Source organism: Homo sapiens, chromosome 17, assembly GCF_000001405.40.
Source record: "Homo sapiens chromosome 17, GRCh38.p14 Primary Assembly".
NCBI lineage: Eukaryota > Metazoa > Chordata > Mammalia > Primates > Hominidae > Homo > Homo sapiens.
In genome coordinates this window covers 28,752,503-28,770,435 of record NC_000017.11, presented here as the reverse complement: position 1 = coordinate 28,770,435, position 17,933 = coordinate 28,752,503, and the positions used below count along the sequence as shown (strand labels likewise).

The following is a 17,933-nucleotide window of genomic DNA, read 5'->3' as shown; positions in this document are numbered from 1 at the left end:
CTGTCTGAAGAAAAAGGAAACTGATAGAACCTGGAGTTGAAGAGTGAGCCACAGGCTTTGGGAAAAGTCAAATCTAGGTTTCAGTCCTGGGCTCTGCCATCATTAATAGATTGACATATGTAGATTAAATGACAACCTCAAAAAATTAATAACAATCTGCCTTTTATATGGTCAACAGTTACTTATGGAGAGCCTCGTAAGTGTTAGTAGATGATGCTTTTCTAGATATAATAATGAACAAAACGAACCAAGGGTCTGTTCTTACTGAGTTTATATCCTAGTGGGGTGGAGAGAGATGGACGTAAAACAGGTGGTAATGATGGTGGTAAAAAGTGAGGGAAATAGAGGAGTTAACAACAGGAAGGGCCACGTGCCTGGGGTTAATTGTGTGGGAGGAATTGTTGAGTTCAGGGTCTCAGGATAGATTTTAAAAGAAAAAAATGAGGGAAATAAGGATACTGTTTTAGACATGGAGGTCAAAGAAGCCCTCCCCTTAAGAAGTGACATTTAAGCAGAAACCTGAATGAAGTGAGGGAGCTAGAAAAATAAGTAGACATCTGGGGCAAGAACATTCCAGGCAGAGGGAATGGTAAGGACAAAGTCCTAAAGCGGTAGCGTGTTTGGCTCGTTGAAGGAACTGCAGGGAAACCATGGTGAGACCATGGTGGCTGGAAGTAAGTCAGCAAGAGAGGGCAGGGTAGGTCAGAAGGTGAGGTCAGAGAACCAGTAGTAATAGATCATGGAGGGCCTTGGGGTCCATGTTAGGATTTTGTATTTTATTCTTAGATGGAAAGTCATTAGAGATATTTAAGCTGCTCTGACTTTCAGTTAACAGAATTGGCCGGGCGCGGTGGCTCACGTCTGTAATCCCAGCACTTTGGGAGGCCAAGGCGGGCGGAACACGAGGTCAAGAGATCGAGACCATCCTGGCCAACATGGGGTGAAACCCCGTTTGGGCCAGGCACGGTGGCTTACGCCTGTAATCCCAGCACTTTGGGAGGCCGAGGCGGGCGGATCATGAGGTCAGGAGATTGAGACCATCCTGGCTAACACTGTGAAACCCCATCTCTACTAAAAATACAAAAAAAAATTATCCGGGCATGGTGGCAGGCGCCTGTAGTCCCAGCTACTCGGGAGGCTGAGGCAGGAGAATGGCGTGAACCCGGGAGCGGAGGTTGCAGTGAACCGAGATCGCACCACTGCACTCCAGGCTGGGGAACAGAGCAAGACTCCATCTCAAAAAAAAAAAAAAAAAAAAAAAGAACTAACATTGCTGAATAGAGAATAGATTGGGTGATAAAGGGTAAGCGTGGAACAGACCATTTAGAAGGCTAATAGTAATCCCATCTAGAGATGATGAGATGACAGGTGAAGTTTGTTACCTGTTTCCAAGGCTTGAGAGACTCAATTAAGAAAACATCACTAAAGCCCCTCATACAGCCCATTTCACAGTTTTAGCTCCCAGTACTTGTTAATTCTCTTCCTTTCCTTGGAGTTTGCCTTCAGCTGTGTTAGGGTCTTAAGGGAGAAGTTATTATGTAAAGATCAGCATCCAGACCCCAACAGAAGTCTCTCTTTTTTTTTTTTTTTTTTTTTTTTGAGACAGAGTTTTACTCTTGTGGCCCGGGCTGGAGTGCAGTGGCGCAGCCTCTGCTCACTGCAACCTCTGCCTTCTGGGTTCAAGCAGTTCTCCTGCCTCAGCCTCCTGAGTAGCTGGGACTACAGGCATGCGCCACCATGCCCAGCTAATTTTGTATTTTTAGTAGAGACAGGGTTTCACCACGTTGGCCACGCTGTTCTCGAACTCCTGACCTCAGGTAATCTGCCCGCCTCGGCCTCCCAAAGTGCTGGGATTACAGGTGTGAGCCACCGTGCCCGGCCAAGACTTTTTTTTTTTCTTGAGGCACTGAAGTTGGCTCACTGTGTTCATTCTGTTTTCCCACCCACCAGAGATCTTAAAAAGACTGACGCTGTGCCAGAACTCTTGGACAGCTCTGTTCTCATTAAGGCATTCAATCTTCAGTTCTTTCTGCAGTTGCTATCTTAGACACAGTTTGAGCAGCCTCTTTTACAAAGTGTCTTTTCAGCTACCTGGTCTTGGAAGCAGGAGCCCTCTGATACTCATCATGACAAGGTAGTTTAATATACCTGAGAGAGCCCTCTCAAGAAAATAAGGAGATTTTTGTCGTCTTTAACTTTTGAGCTTTTCCCCCACTCCTTTTTTGCTGTGATCTAAAGCCATAATTTGCCACCTTGGTTTCTGAAATATGGGAAAAGAAGTTCGTGTACTTATTTAGGAAAATCGTATTTCTGTTACCTAAGGAGCTTGCATTGTTGACAGGGCTTCTTTCGCTACAGAAGGCCCCATCAATGTCTGCTTGCTTGGGCTGTGTATGTCTGGTTGGTAAACATCACTAATGAAACTCGTGCGGTCTTGACATGTCAGGATTGCCTGCACGAAGAGAGCTGCTGGCAGCCTTTCTCCTTGCTTTAGTCTGGGAGCAATGCATTTCTTTTGAGGGGGTGGGAGAGGTAGTTCAGGAGGTCTAATTGCATGTCAGGAAGGGTGAAGCCCCAGAAATTTGCAAACAGAATTTGCTTTAACAGTGGTTAATTGTGCCTCCTAGGATGCTTTCCTCCTTCCATTTAAAAGTGAGTTCGGCCGGGTGCGGTGGCTCATGACTGTAATCACAGCACTTTGGGAAGCTGAGGCGGGCGGACCACCTGAGGTCAGGAGTTTGAGACCAGCCTGACCAACATGGTGAAACCCCATCTCTACTAAAAGTACAAAAATTGGCTGGGCATGGCGGCATGCGCCTGTAATCCCAGCTGCTAGAGAGGCTGAGGGACGAGAATCGCTTGAACTCAGGAGTCAAGGGTTGCAGTGAGCCAAAATTGTACCACTGCACTCCAGCCTAGGTGACAGCAGAACTCTGTCTTAAATAAATAAATAAATAAGTAAATAAATGTAAGTTCATGGCCGGGTGCAGTGGCTCACACCTGTAATCCCGGCACTTTGGGAGGCCGAGGTGGGCGGATCAACTGAGGTCAGGAGTTCGAGACCAGCCTGGCCAACATGGTGAAACCCCGTCTCTACTAAAAATACAAAGAAATTAGCCAGGCGTGGTGGCGGGTGCCTTTAATCCCAGCTACTCGGGAGGCTGAAGCAGGAGAATCGCTTGAACCTGGGAGGCAGAGGTTGCAGTGAGCCAAGATCGCACCATGGCACTCCAGCCTGGGCAACAAGAGTGAAACTCCGTCTCAAAAAAAATAAAATAAAAGTGGGTTCATATTACTGGCTCACAAGTCAGACATTGGGTACCTTTGCAATCATATAATGTGCTGCTTCTGAAAATGTCTGGCTGGTCTCCAACCAGGCCTATAAATGGGCTGGCTGAGCCAGGCCCTATGAGGGCCCACTCTCCTCAGGAATACTGAGACATTATAAATGCACCTGTACTTTCCAGTTGTATGAATAGGTGCTTTCCAGTTTTATTTCTCCCATCCATACATCTGTGGTAACTGAAAAATCATTTTAACCATAGTGATATTTGACAGCAAATTGTCGTCACAGATAAAGATGTAAGTATACTTTCAACCAACACACTGCTAATTAAATTGCTTTATGTGTCTAAACTTGGGCCTCACGCCAGTCATATCCAGTGTTCCTACTCTCTTCTTCGAATGAGTTGCCTTGTGTTTCATGACCTTGTTTTTGTTCATTACAGTGTGAGCCACTGCCCCATGTTGTGTTGATGCCAATCTGCCATGCTAGCCTGTCTACCAGGGCCAGGTGACCTGTCCTTTCAGCTTCTTTCTCACACGCAGATGAACACTGGACTTCAGAAATGTAAGTAATCTGGATCCTATGGAGCATGTGTGATTCTTTGTTTTTGTCTCTACATTTGGGCCGTCCTTGAAGCACATCTGGGGTACACTGACCTTGAATTTTGACACCTTTCTTTTTTTTTTTTTTTTAAGACGAAGTCTTGCTCTTGTCACCCAGGCTGGAGTGCAATGACGCGATCTTGATTGGCTCACTGCAACCTCTCCCTCCCGGGTTAAGCAATTCTCTTGCTTCAGCCTCCCGAGTAGCTGGGATTACAGGTGCCCACCACCATGCCTGGCTAATTTTCTATTTTTAGTAGAGATAGGGTTTCACCATGTTGGCCAGGCTGGTCTCAAACTCCTGATCTCAGGTGATGCCCCTAACTTGGCCTCCCAAAGTGCTGGGATTACAGGTGTGAGCCACTGTGTCCAGCCATTAGGGGTCTGCTTAAATTCTGTAATTCCCCATTGTATCTCAATTTTAATTGTTGCTGATAGCTTTCTGTTGAACAACAAAACTATAAAGAGCTTCAGGGGAAATATATATATATATATCACCCTTAAAAAAGGTGTTTCAGTTTGAACCTTCATAGGGAATTGAATGAAAACTCACAGTCCAGATTACTTACTATATCTCTGAAATAAACTATGCTGTTCTCTTGTTTTGAACTCTCTTAGTAGTCTACCATGGAAACAGACAGTTCCCTTTGGCTTTGCTACCTGCCTTCTGAGTCAGTGTGACTTTAGTTCACAGGAAGTCAGGGAGCTTTTGCCCTCAGAAGAGATGGAGAGCTAGCTTTCTCAGTCTCTCTGGGCATTTTCCTGCTAATACACTTCCCAGAAGATTGAGCCTTTGAAAACTGTTAGATTCTTGTCTTAACTTTCTGGAATTGGGGTTTTATACTTCATATTTTCCCGGACTCCTTCCTACCTTCTCTCCCTGTAATACATGATCTGCAAGGAAAATATTCTATTCTTGGCACATTACCATGTATAGTATCTTCAGGTGTAAAAACAGCCCTAAATTTGGAATAGACCTTCCATTCAGAGCACAAAGGGGAAATCATTGAGGTGGCTAGGCTTCCCTTTGATAGGAAAGGTGCTTCAGCACCTTAACTGAACCCCTTATGACAGGGGTTAACAAACTTTCTGTAAAGCCCAGATAGCCAATAATTTAAGCTTTGTGGGCCATGTGGTCTCTGTTGCATCTACTCAACTCTGGCATTGTAGGGCAACGGCAGCCACAGACAATAAACAAATGAGGGTGTCTGTGTTCCAGTGAAACTTTTTTACAAAAAAACAGCAACTGGACCAGGCACGCAGGCTGTCGTTTGCCAGCCCCTGCCATGTGAGAACATCATCAGAAGTTAAAAATGGTCCAGCCTTTAGACTTCATTTCTTTGAGAGAGCGTAAGACTCAGAGCCTGGCTAGTTCTGGAATTTGGCCAGTGAATCCAGCTCTATGTAATAACAGCTGAAGGTGGTAGTCCTCCTTCTACAGTTGCCTGACACAATAAGGCAAGCTCTGCTATAGCTTTCTCAACCCATCCTTTATCTTAATAAGTGATGATTGGGTGATGAAGGTGTTATGTTATACTCTCTGGTCATCCAAATCAGCATCCTAACTGCATCGTGCCTATTTCTGGGCTTCTGGGGACACAACTGGAGAGGGAACGTACTTAGAGGCATGCAGTAAGATGACAAAGAGAAGCTTCCTTTGTTCTGGGTTCCTTAACACACTCTGACAGCTTTACCCAAAGATGTGATATCAAGGGAAAAGCCATTTGGAGGACGGGCAAATTGGCAGCTTTATCTTGGTGTTCACTTTTATTATTTTTATTTTTTTTTTAATTATTTTTTTTAGATAGAGTTTTGCTCTTGTTGCTAGGCTGGAGTGCAATGGCGTGATCTCGGCTCAACGCAACCTCCGCCTTCTGGGTTCAAGCGATTCTCTACCTCAGCCTCTTGAGTAGCTGAGATTACAGGCATGCACCACCACGCCCAGCTAATTTTGTATTTTCAGTAGAGACAGGGTTTCTTCATGTTGGTCAGGCTGGTCTCGAACTCCCGACTTCAGGTGATCCGCCTGCCTCGGCCTCTCAAAGTGCTGGGATTACAGGTGTGAGCCACCACACCCAGCCCACTTTATTTTATTTTATTATTTTGAGGAGGACTTTTGCTCTTGTCACCCAGGCTGGAGTGCAGTGGCACGATCTCGGCTCACTGCAACCTCCGCCTCCCAAGTTCAAGTGATTCTCCCGCCTCAGTCTCCTGAGTAGTGGGATTACAGGCATGAGCCACCATGCCCGGCCCTTTTTTTTTTTTTTTTTTTTTTTGAGATGGAGTCTCCCTCTGTCACCCAGACTGGAGTGCAGTGGCGCAATCTCGGTTCACTGCAACCTCCATCTCCCGGGTTTAAGCAGTGCTCCTGCCTTAGTCTCTCGAGTAGCTCAGATTACAGGCATGCGCCACTGGAAATTTTTTCTTTCTTAATCCTAAACCTCTGCTCTGTATTTCCCCTTCTCAGGATCACAATATAGTAGTGGCTCTGTAAATATTTACTGTTTGAATAGCTGATAAAAGGTCCTTGGTCCTTAAACCATCTTCAGATAACAACTTTGATTTCCTTCCATGGCAGAACACTGGGGCTCTGGGGACAAATGCCAAAATTACCTTCTTTTACTGCTTCTTTATGTGCATATCTGCCCCCTAGTGGAGGGGTCTGGAAATGGCAGATTGACCCAATGACTGGATAAAGTCATAGAAATAATAGCTAACATTTGTCAAGTTGCTACCATGTGCCAGGCACTATATTGAATATTTTCACATATGTTGTCACCCATTCCTCAAAAATTCCATATGGAAGACTCTCTTGCCTTTGTCAGAAGGATAAGGTATAGAGAGAGGGTTTGTCACTTGCCAGTGCCACATGACAGTCCTGTGACTGGCCCATACTCAGCTCAGACTCTGAAATCTGTGTTTGAACACATTGCCTGTGCCTCTCTGCCTACAGATAGAGGTTCCTGTTGCCTATGCCACCTGTGCCCTCTGACCTTCAAAACAGAAGGATGAACAGAGAGGTCTCCATTGGGAGGACTGAATTTCAGGCAGAAAATTGCCTCCAGTCCATCCTGGAATAGACAGCAGTGCTTTCTGTTACATTTAACTCTCAGGCTGAAGGCCAGGTTGTCCTGCAGTTGGGGCTTCCTTAGTCAGTTTTCTTTGTGTTGTCTGTGGTCAGACTCAGCCACATCTGCTATCCTTGAATGGTAACTATTGACCATCATTGTTTCATTTTCAATGAAAATGCTCATTTAGTGAAAATGTTCATTGACTCTCGATCTTAGTAATTCTGTGAAGTAGGAGAGCAGAATTCATCCCTGTTGATAATTGAGGAATGACAGGCTCTCAGTATGGGCAAATGATGAAGCTAGTACTTGAATACAGGTTTCTCTAACCCTTTACAAACTACAGATTTCCTATTCCCTACATTGTCTATGTCTCTATTAATGACACTATTGGTATAAGCTATTTAAGTAAGTCGCTTACAAAGCTGTGGTATCTGTGTTGGCTGTGTAGTTACAGAAATACATTACAGAAGAAAATAAGTAGTCAGGGTGCCTGTGTGGGGGCTGTGATAAGTGTTGAGAAAACTTTTTTTTTTTTTTTTGAGACGGAGTCTTACTCTGTCACCCAGGTTGGAGTGCAGTGGTGCGATCTTGGCTCACTGCAACCCTGCCTCCCGGGTTTAAGCAATTCTTTGCCTCAGCCTCCCGAGTAGCTGGGATTACAGGCACCTGCCACCATGCCCGGCTAATTTTTTGTATTTTTTTAGTAGAGACGGGGTTTCTCCATCTTGGCCAGGCTGGTCTTGAACTCCTGACCTCGTGATCCACCCACCTCGGCCTCCCAAAGTGCTGGGATTACAGGCGTGAGCCACCATGCCCAGCTGAGAAAACTTTTTTTTTTTTTTTTTTTTTTGAGATGGAGTCTCGCTCTGTCACCCAGGCTGGAGTGCAGTGGTGCAATCTTTGCTCACTGCAACCTCCACCTGCCGGGTTCAAGCAATTCTCCTGCCTCAGCCTCCCAAGTAGCTGGGACTACAAGTGCGCTCCACCATCCCAGGCTAATTTTTTGTATTTTTAGTAGAGACAGGGTTTCACCATGCTGGGCAGGCTGGTCTTGAACTCCTGACCTCATGATCCACCCGCCTCGGCCTCCCAAAGTGCCAGGATTACAGGCATGAGCCACTGCGCCCAGCAGAAAACTTTTTTTAAGAGTTAGGCTTAAGTCTGGTATGTGAGGTAGATGGTGCTGTATTCCCAGAATGATACCCCTTTTTTGTTCAATATACTGTACTCATCTTTGGGGTTCTTCCTTAACAAAGCTACTGTAGCCTTGTGGCCACCCTCCCTACCCTCATTTCACTTTATTTCTGAATCCTTTGACAGCCCTCTTCACCATTTCAGCATCAGTGGAGGCAGGACAAAGAAAACTAATCAATGTGGATAAGTGTCCCCTTCCATACTCCTGAATGAGGTCAAGCTTCCCCCTTGCCTCTGCTAAAAAAAACCTCAGAGTTGGTACTAACTTGGAACAAAGGGACTCTTCTACTCATCAAGGTACTATACGACTTCTACTTGGATTTCAAGGAGAGAAGCCCACCAGCATGGAGGTGGGCTAGGTTTAAAGCACTGTGCTAGGAGTATTATATGAGATTATGACCAATAAGACACATAGGTACAGTGGTTGACCAAGGCAGCTTCTGTTGGAATTCTGATGTCTTGAGTTTAGGGACTTGCTCTCAATCAGTGATCCCAGACTTTTTTGCCAGTATTTGAAAGCACAGACCTGTTTTGGGAGGTGGGGATGCCTGGCTCTTTTTGCCCAGATCTGCTTGTGAGCATGGGCCCAAATCTCTCTGCCCCTCCTGACTTGAGCTTTCTTTTCCTGCTTCCCAGAGCAGGAGTTGCTAACCAGCATTATCACCAAACAAAGAGAGCTGTACCCATTTTCCTTCTAATATGCTCATTAGCCTACCTTTGTTCTAGGTGATGCCCAGTGATGTGACTTTGAATAGAGTCTCCTTTGGGCCAAGGCCACCTGAGGCCACAAGCTGGGCATTCAGTCAGATTAGTCGTTGGCCTATCCTCCTGCCTTTTGCAAGAGGAGGAAGTAAGGAGAGAGTCGGCTAGCTGAGCCTGGGCTTCCTGCCAAGCCACTTCTGCTTTGGGCAGTCTGTGTACTCATTCAGCAAGCATTTATTAGGCACCTTTTGTGTATACTCAGGGGAGACCCTCCCTCAGAGACGAGAGAGTAGAGCAGAGCCCCCTTGCAGGAGGTTGGCATCCTTAAAGAGCCCTTGTTCTCAGAACCTTTTCCTTTTTGACTGGAAGCCGGACATCCGCTGAGCCCCCTGATGGGAGGCAACAGGAGATGGGAACAAAGAGACTGTTAACATTAATGAGGCACACCGAGTGGGCATTTCCGCAGTCTCCAAAGGCAGGCAGGTTTTTCCTCTTTCTTTTTGGAAAATGACAGCTGACATGGACCAAATACAGACTATTTTTGGCTCTCAGGACTGAAAGGACTGAAAGATGCTCTGAATCCTTTCTTCTCAATTCCCTCCCTGCTGCCCTGTCATTATTATCTTCCTTCTCAAGCAAATAAATAAAGCCTTTGATCCTCATCCAGTCGGGCATAGAGTAAACTGTAAACAAAAGTGAACTTGTGACATGGGGAAGGGGAGAGATGTTGGCAGCTTATTCCTCTGCTCCTGAAAGGAAGCATTCTGTCTACTGTTCAGGGTGCCCACCCAGTGGGCAAAGCCCCCCAGCTGCCAAGATGCAAGGGAAAGCTGATCCCTCATTGGTCCCTGCAGACTGAAGAGTCGTAGCTCTGGGTACCCTCTAGACTGAAGGGCCACCATGGCCCTGACAAGGAGCTTTGCTTAGAACCTACCCCCAAGCCACATGGGCTGGTAGAGTTCCAGACCCTGCATTTCTCTCTTTTTTTTTTTTCTTTTTCTGAGACAGAGTCTTGCTCTGTCGCCCAGGTTGGAGTGCAGTGGTGCGATGTCGGCTCACTGCAACCTCCGCCTCCTGGGTTCAAGCAATTAATCCTCCTGCCTCAGCCTCCCAAGTAGCTGGGATTACAGGTGCTTGCCATCACGCCTGGCTAACTTTTTGTATTTTTAGTAGAGACGGGGTTTCGCCATGTTGCCCAGGCTGGTCTTGAACTCCTGACCTCAGATGATCCACCCACCTTGGCCTCCCAAAATGCTGGGATTTACAAGTGTGAGCCACCGTGCCCAGCGACCCTGAATTTCTGTGTAGGGGGAGAACTCTCGGTTACCTCTCTGAGAATTGGCCAAATTCTGGTTCTGCAAGATATGAGACTTTGAAAGATGCTTTGCTGTTCTGATCTCTACTTACCTCATTTATAAAATGTAAATGATGATAGTGCCTGCTTCTACAGCAATAGTGAGGATTCATTGAGATGGCCTGTCATCTGGCAGAAGGCCTGGCCCACTATAAGCACTTACTGAACATTAGCAGTGCTTGTTAATGTGAAGACTGAAGCTGGGTCTCGAATGAAGGCTACAGATGACAATCTAGTCATTTCCCCACCCCACCCCAGGCCCTCAAAAGGGGAATCTGGAAGGGCTGTTTGCCTTGGCACTGATGAGCTCCCTCTCCCTCTTTGCTCTCCTTCCCATTCTCTCTCTCTAGGGGACACTACACAGAAAATGAGAACTGCTCACTATCCTACCCCAGCCGAATTGGATGCGTATGCTAAGAAGGTCGCAAACAACCCACTGACTATAAAAATCTTCCCCAACAGTGTGAAGGTTCCCCAGCGGAAACACGTTCGTCGTACTGTGAACGGCCTCGACACATCAGCCCAGCGCTACAGCCCCTACCCGACACAGGCTGCCACCAAGGCAGGCCTGCTTGCCATTGTCAAAGTGCCAGCCAAAAGCATACTCAAGGACTTTGACGGCACCCGAGCCCGGTTGCTCCCTGAGGCCATCATGAACCCCCCAGTGGCACCCTATGCTACTGTGGCACCCAGCACTTTAGCCCACCCCCAGGCCCAGGCTCTGGCCCGCCAGCAGGCCCTGCAGCATGCACAGACCCTGGCCCATGCCCCTCCCCAGACGCTGCAGCACCCTCAGGGTATCCCGCCACCCCAGGCACTGTCCCACCCTCAGAGCCTCCAGCAGCCTCAGGGCCTGGGCCACCCTCAGCCCATGGCCCAAACCCAGGGCTTGGTCCACCCTCAGGCCCTGGCTCACCAGGGTCTCCAGCACCCCCACAATCCCTTGCTGCATGGAGGCCGGAAGATGCCAGACTCAGATGCCCCCCCGAATGTGACCGTGTCTACCTCAACTATCCCCCTTTCAATGGCGGCCACTCTGCAGCACAGCCAGCCTCCGGACCTGAGTAGCATCGTGCACCAGATCAACCAGTTTTGCCAGACGAGGGCAGGCATCAGCACTACCTCAGTGTGTGAGGGCCAGATCGCCAACCCCAGCCCCATTAGTCGCAGTCTGCTCATCAATGCAAGCACCCGGGTGTCGACCCACAGCGTCCCCACACCAATGCCTTCATGTGTGGTCAATCCCATGGAGCACACCCACGCGGCCACCGCCGCGTTGCCTGCTGCAGGTCCTGTCAACCTGCCCACAGGCATCTCTCGCGTCCCCACTGGCTACCCTAGCGACCTCAAGCCAGTCACCTGGAACCAGCACCAGCTGGCCCACCTACAGCAGATGTGCAGCGAGGCTAGTGGGACGCCAGCCCCTGGCCTGACAGGCAAGCATGCGGCAGGACGCGAGTTGGCAGGGCCTGGCTTTGTGGGCAAGGCCCCTGCCTACCCGCAGGAACTCTGCCTGGCGCAGTCCTTCCATCTGAAGCCACCCCTGGAAAAGCCGACCCCATCCCCACCAGTCAACGGCATGGCAGCCCCATTGGCCTACCCCAATGGTCACTACTTCCAACCCCTGTGGAACAACATTCTGCCCACTCCCAATAGCGACAGCTCGGGGTCTCAGGACCTTGCCATGCCGTTCCACGGTGGGCAGCCCACAGGTGCACCCCTCGACTGTGCGGCAGCTCCCGGGGCCCACTACCGAGCAGGGACCGGGGGCGGTCCAGTGGCAAGCCAGAACAGCTTGATGCAAACAGTGGATTACCTAAGTGGGGATTTCCAACAGGCCTGCTTCCGAGAACAGAGCCTGGCCATGCTGAGCAAGGCCCACCGAGCCCCTGGCAACCGAGCCCCCGATCCCACAGAGAGTCGAAGTCTTCATATTCAGCACCCAGGGTATAGATAGGTAGCCCTGCTGCCCTCCACGTGCAACACATCATACATCACCCTCCTAGGTTTAGTCTTTTAAGTAACTGGATAGTTTCAAAGTTTCACTGCTCCAGTGTGATCATTCTTAGATGTCTAAGAAAGGGAATTTGGTGGGATCTAAGTGGGGACAGAAGGGGTCCTCTCGTCCTCCCCTCCAGCAACTTTTGGTTTTATGTTAGAACCTAACCCTAAGCCCAGGCTTTTCTCTCCACTGACTGCCTGTCAGCTAGTCTCTCCACCTTGGCCATTTCCAGCCAGCTCCCACCCATCTTTTCTTGAATCTCTTCCTGTTTCCCTTAGGACGACTGAGGTGTGGGCTGACGGAATGCCCTAGTTGAGGTAGTATAGGTGCTCAGGCCCCTAATCCAGACCTCTACCTGTTGCTACCCCCCTTCCCCTCCCTCCAGGACTAAGAAGCAAGATTTCCCAGGTGCTCTGAAAGCTAATTACTTACTCATCGAAGGATCTCAAATCAAAGCTGACCCAGTCTTCATATCCTTCAAGTTCCTTTCCATTCCTCAAGGCTTTGTTTTGTGTCTATATTGATCCCACAGCCACTGCACTTGCCCTTGCCACACTTGATCTCAAGGGCATCTTGGAAGTATTTGACCATTTCTTGAGATATGGGGGGAAAAAGTCTTTGTATTGGCATCTTGGTTCCAGACTCCCCTTTCCAAACCTAGAAAAATACAGTGACCTTTGAGCATACCCAAGATCCCTTTCTCACTGTTGCCTGTCCCCTAACTCACCTCCCCACAGCCCCTATCCTTTCCCCCTCAACAAAAACAAAATCTACCTTACTTGAGGAATTAGGTAGGTAAGGAATGATCACATTGGAGTTTGGGATTAAAAACACCAAAAAAAAAAAAATGCATTTGGTTCTCTCTACACTGGCTAAGAATATTGCTCTACACTGTAAGTTTTAAACGTTACGTTTCTGTATGAATGTAGTGTGGGTTTGAGTAGCATTGTGTGTGAGTGGCCCCACAGGTACATTCACCCTCTAGTGCAGCCCCTCAGTTTAATGAAGGAAAAAAAAACAAACACAAAGCCTTAAGCTCTTTGAGTACTTCCTTTACCAAATGAGCATGGTTCTAACACCTGGAGCTGGGCCTACATTGGAAACAAGCCCCTCCTGCCCTCTGTCCATTCTTAGAGCATACCTTCATCCACTCCATGCTCAGCACGTCTCATCCCAAGCGACAATTAGTTGGCTAGAAACACTTTTCTGTAATTTTAAACTTAGACTGTTTTGTTACAAATTTTTGCACCATTCTGTTAAAGATGCAGAATTGGGCTTTTTTATTTTTTACAGATGAAATAAGCCCTTACCTTTCCTCTTGTCTCTGGGGAATGTCAGCTGATGGTTCTTATTTAAGGTTTTGCATTTTGTTCACTATCCACTACTGTTCGTTAGCCAGAAATTCTCTAGTGATCTGAAGCAATGTGACTGAAGACCAGTTTTAAGTTATGTGTTGGCAAGTTGCCTTATATTTAAAAGGAAAAAGAAAAAAAAAAAAGCCTGATTGTGTTATGCCAAATGATAGCAACATGAAGTCCTAATTTATTGTTCCCAATTGTTTTCCTGCCGTCTGTGAACACTGGTACCTCCCTGTCCTGATCCCCCAGGAGCACCTGTAGCTTCTGACTCAATGCCTTCTCCGAAGGTGTTGGCCGCCATCTCACCCAGGGCCCTCTTCCAGTTCCTGCTTTTCTGAGTCAGATTTAAAGAGCACCACTGTCTTCCCCCTACCCCTTGCTTGATCTCCAAAGCAGATATTCTTGCTGTATTTTTTTTTCCTCCCCAATACCTCTCCCTGAAAGGTGAGCTGCTATTTTAGGAAACTGGACCAGACACCAACTTGGGGGCTTTAAGTCAAACAACCTCAAACCCATCTCTTCCTGTGTAGGGGTGCAAGCCTCTGAAGCTCTCACTCCCACCCTTAGTCTGCATGGAAAATGTACTGTGATCCCCCTGCCCCCAACTGCCCTCGCCTTTGGTGTGAGATGTTCCTTCTTTCGGAGTTCAGCCTGAGTCCCTCTCCCCTCTGCCAGCCAACCCCCAGCCAGCAATAAGGGTCCAAGCCAGGGCCTCCTCTCCACACTCCCTGTCTCCATCCTACACTACCCTAGGGAATACCTGGATTCCCCATTCTATCCACATACTGTAGCATTCATTCTCCATCTCTCTCACCTCACCTGTGGTGGTTTATGGGTGTGATGGGGTTTTTAAGATTATTATAAACCAGTAAAAATAAGAAAACCTCGCTTTCTGACCTTGTTCTATTCGTTTAGTGCTGTGAATGTTTGAGGTAACTTTTTCTTAACAGTTTCTAACATACCTCACTTCATAGGAGTAATTCCTAATTTTTAAAAGGGGTACCCCTGTAATATGCATCCCACCCAGAAGCCGTCTCCAAATCCATTATTTAAGGCCAGGTGCTATGGTGATTGTAGACAGTTCTTCAATGAAACCCTGGACACAGGGTACCCGGCTGACAGGCCCTCTCCCTGGGCAGGGCTGCTGTGGGCTTACTGTGAAGTTTGAGGATAAGTGTGGTTTGCTGTCCCTCACTGGAGGCCCAAAAGGTCCTGCCACTTGCATTCCAAGGGCCATAAGTCATTGAGAAATGGCGATCTGGTTGTTTTGTTTTGTTTGAGGCGAAGTCTTGCTCTGTCGCCCAGGCTGGAGTCCAGTGGCACGATCTCGGCTCACTGCAACCTCCACTTCCCAGGTTCAAAGGATTCTCCTGTCTCAGCCTCCTGAGTAGCTGGGATTACAGGTGCCTGCCACCACGCTCAGCTAATTTTTTGTATTATTAGTAGAGATGGGGTTTCACCATGTTGGCCAGGCTGGTCTCGAACTCCCGACCTCAAGTGATACACCTGCCTCGGCCTCCCAAAGTGCTGAGATTACAGGCGTGAACCACCATGCCCAGCCAAGAAATGGGGATCTGGTTTGCTAATAACCCAACCTAAAACTTCAAACCTGCCTTCTTCCACTTCCAACACTTTGGAAATTCTGAGGGCCTCTGACAGAGGTGAAGGTGATAGGCACTGTTATCTGCAATGTAACTGGCTCCTCTTGGTGATTACAGTTTTCTTATGTTGAATTTTGGATAACTTTATTTTTTTGTCTGCAGAGGAAAAAAAAAAAACACTAAGTGATTGCAGCCAGGCACAGTGGCTCATGCCTGTAATCCCAGCACTTTGGGAGGCCAAAGCAGGTGGATCATCTGAGGTCAGGAGTTCAAGACCAACCTGACAAACACGGGGAAACCCAGTCTCTACTAACAATACAAAAATTAGCTGGGCGTGGTACCACGCGCCTGTAATTCCAGCTACTCAGGAGGGTGAGACAGGAGAATCGCTTGAACCTGGGAGGCGGAGGTTGCAGTGAGCCGAGATTATGCCACTGCACTCCAGCCTGGGCGACAGTGAGACTCCCGTCTCAGGAAAAAAAAAAAAAAAATGAATTAAGTTACCCTCCTCTTCTGTTGAGCTTGGGTTTGAGCTAAGATGTAATGGAAGGAAAAGTTGATTCTGGCTGGGTGCGGTGGCTCATGCCTGTAATCCTAGCTCTGGGTGGCTGAAGTGGATTGCTTGTGCCCAGGGGTGAGACCCTGTGTCTTCAAAAATTGTAAAAAGTTGGGTGTGTAGTCCGGGTACAGTGGCTCACGCCTGTAATCCCAGCACTTTGGGAGGCCGAGGCAGGCGGATCACCTGAGGTCGGGAGTTCAAGACCGGCCTGACCAACATGGAGAAACCTTGTCTCTATTAAAAATACAAAATTAGCTGGGCATGGTGGCGCATGCCTGTAATCCCAGCTACTCGGGAGGCTGAGGCAGGAGAGTTGCTTGAACCTCGGAGGCGGAGGTTGTGGTGAGCCGAGATCGCGCCATTGCACTCCAGCCTGGGCAACGAGTGAAACTCAGTCTCAAAAAAAAAAAAAAAAAAAAACAAAAGTTGGGTGTGATGGCACATACCTGTAGTCCCAGCTGCTTGGGAGGCTGAAGTGGTAGGATTCCTCAAGCCCGAGAGTTTACGGCTGCAGTGCCAGTATCTGGGTGACAGGAGTGAGACCCCCATCTCTAAATGAAAAAACTATTTTTTTAAAAAAAGAAAACTGAGGCCGGGTGTGGTGGCTCACACCTGTAATCCCAGCACTTTGGGAGGCTGAGGCCAGCTGGATCACCTAAGGTCAGGAGTTCGAGACCAGCCTGGCCAACATGGTGAAAACCCGTCTCTACTAAAAATACAAAAATTAGCCAGGCATGGCAGCGGGCGCCTGTAGTCCCAGCTACTCAGGAGGCTGAGGCACGAGAATCACTTGAACCTGGGAGGCAGAGGTTGCAGTGAGCCAAGATCGCGCCACTGCACTCCAGCCTGGATGACGAGAAAAAACTCCGTAAAAAAAAAAAAGAGAAAAGAAAATTGAGGCTTGGCACAGTGGCTCACCTCTGTAATCCCAGCACTTTGGGAAGTGAAGGCCAGCCAGATCACCTAAGGTCAGGAGTTTGAGACCAGCCTGGCCAACATGGTGAAATCCCGTCTCTACTAAAGATACAAAAATTAGCCAGGCATGGTGGCAGGGGCCTGTAATCCCAGCTACTCGGGAGGCTGAGGCAGGAGAATCGCTTGTGAACCCGGGAGGCAGAGGTTGCGGTGAGCTGAAATCGTGCCACTGCACTCCAGCCTGGGCAAAAAGAGTGAGACTCTGTCTCAAAAAAAAGATTATATATATATGTGTGTATATATATATATAATTATAATATCTATATGTATACATATAATATCTATATATATAATTATATAATATATATATAGATTATATATATACACATATAGATTCCACAAGATGGGGGATTCAGGGAGGGTAGAATCAGACCCTTGGCGGCAAGAGTCCGCAGGTGGCTTCCTGAATGCTGACGGAGCTAAAGCACCAGCCTTCTTTCTTGAGCACACCCTTTTCTGTAGGGTGCTTTTGTTTTTTTATTTTTTTTCAGACGGAGTCTCACTCTGTCGCCCAGGCTGGAGTGCAGTGGCGCAATCTAGGCTCACTGCAGGCTCCACCTCCTGGGTTCACACCATTCTCCTGCCTCAGCCTCCTGAGTAGCTGGGACTACAGGCGCCCGCCGCCATGCCTGGCTAATTTTTGTATTTTTAGTAGAGATGGGGTTTCACCATGTTAGCCAGGATGGGGGTGCTTTTTTTTCCTTGAGATAGTCTCTTGCTCTGTCGTTCAGGCGGGCAGTGGCACGATCTTAGCTCACTGCAACCTCCACCTCCCGGGTTCAAGTGATTCTCCTGCCTCAGCCCCATGAGAAGCTGGGACTACAGGTGTGCGCCACCATGCCCAGGTAATTTTTGTATTTTTAGTAGAGACGGGGTTTCGCCATGTTGGTCAGGCTGGTCTTGAACTCCTGATCTTGTGATCCGCTCGCCTCAACCTCCCAAAGTGCTGGGATTACAGGCGTGAGCCACTGTGCCTGGCCGAGGGTGTTCTTTTGTGAAAGTGTTTTGACTCCTTTATGCCTCATGCCACCCCTGTGAAAGGAAGCTGTCTTCTGCCTGTGTCAGATAAGATCTGCAGTCGGCCCAAAAGCGGAGCTAGACATTAGTAAAGTACAGCGCTTCCTCCAGAGTGAATGATTCCTGGGCTGAGGTAGATCCTTGGGGAGTGCAGCTCACACTTTTATTGCAGAACATGGCCTGAATTCTGCAAGTTATGACTAGCACTGAAT

The 17,933-nt window shown here is 48.0% G+C and overlaps 1 protein-coding gene across 28 annotated transcripts in view, besides 2 other annotated features; it reads left to right on the top strand.

Annotated features, from left to right (window-relative positions):
- Positions 1-14,456, top strand: part of FAM222B (family with sequence similarity 222 member B) — a 99,025-nt gene extending 84,569 nt beyond the window's left edge. For 22 of the 28 annotated variants that reach the window (XM_047436371.1, XM_047436381.1, XM_047436376.1 and 19 more), the window contains 2 exons: positions 3,729-3,850; positions 10,560-14,456. In XM_047436371.1, coding sequence (XP_047292327.1) covers positions 3,769-3,850; positions 10,560-12,166 — 1,689 coding nt within the window. In that variant the 5' untranslated portion in view covers positions 3,729-3,768 and the 3' untranslated portion in view covers positions 12,167-14,456. Of the gene's footprint in view, positions 1-3,728; positions 3,851-8,279; positions 8,451-10,559 lie in introns of all 28 variants that reach the window. The other 6 variants (NM_001288640.2, NM_001288637.2, NM_001288639.2 and 3 more) reach the window with 2 other exon arrangements.
- Positions 8,560-9,156: an enhancer, noted in NCBI's record as "OCT4-NANOG-H3K27ac-H3K4me1 hESC enhancer chr17:27088298-27088894 (GRCh37/hg19 assembly coordinates)". NCBI's record gives its function as "activates a minimal SCP1, AML or CMV promoter by ChIP-STARR-seq in naive and primed H9 embryonic stem cells {active_cell/tissue: H9 hESC(naive and primed)}" and the evidence as "EXISTENCE:reporter gene assay evidence [ECO:0000049][PMID:30033119]".
- Positions 9,157-9,754: an enhancer, noted in NCBI's record as "OCT4-NANOG-H3K27ac hESC enhancer chr17:27087700-27088297 (GRCh37/hg19 assembly coordinates)". NCBI's record gives its function as "activates a minimal SCP1, AML or CMV promoter by ChIP-STARR-seq in primed H9 embryonic stem cells {active_cell/tissue: H9 hESC(primed)}" and the evidence as "EXISTENCE:reporter gene assay evidence [ECO:0000049][PMID:30033119]".
- Positions 14,457-17,933: the final 3,477 nt, after the last annotated feature.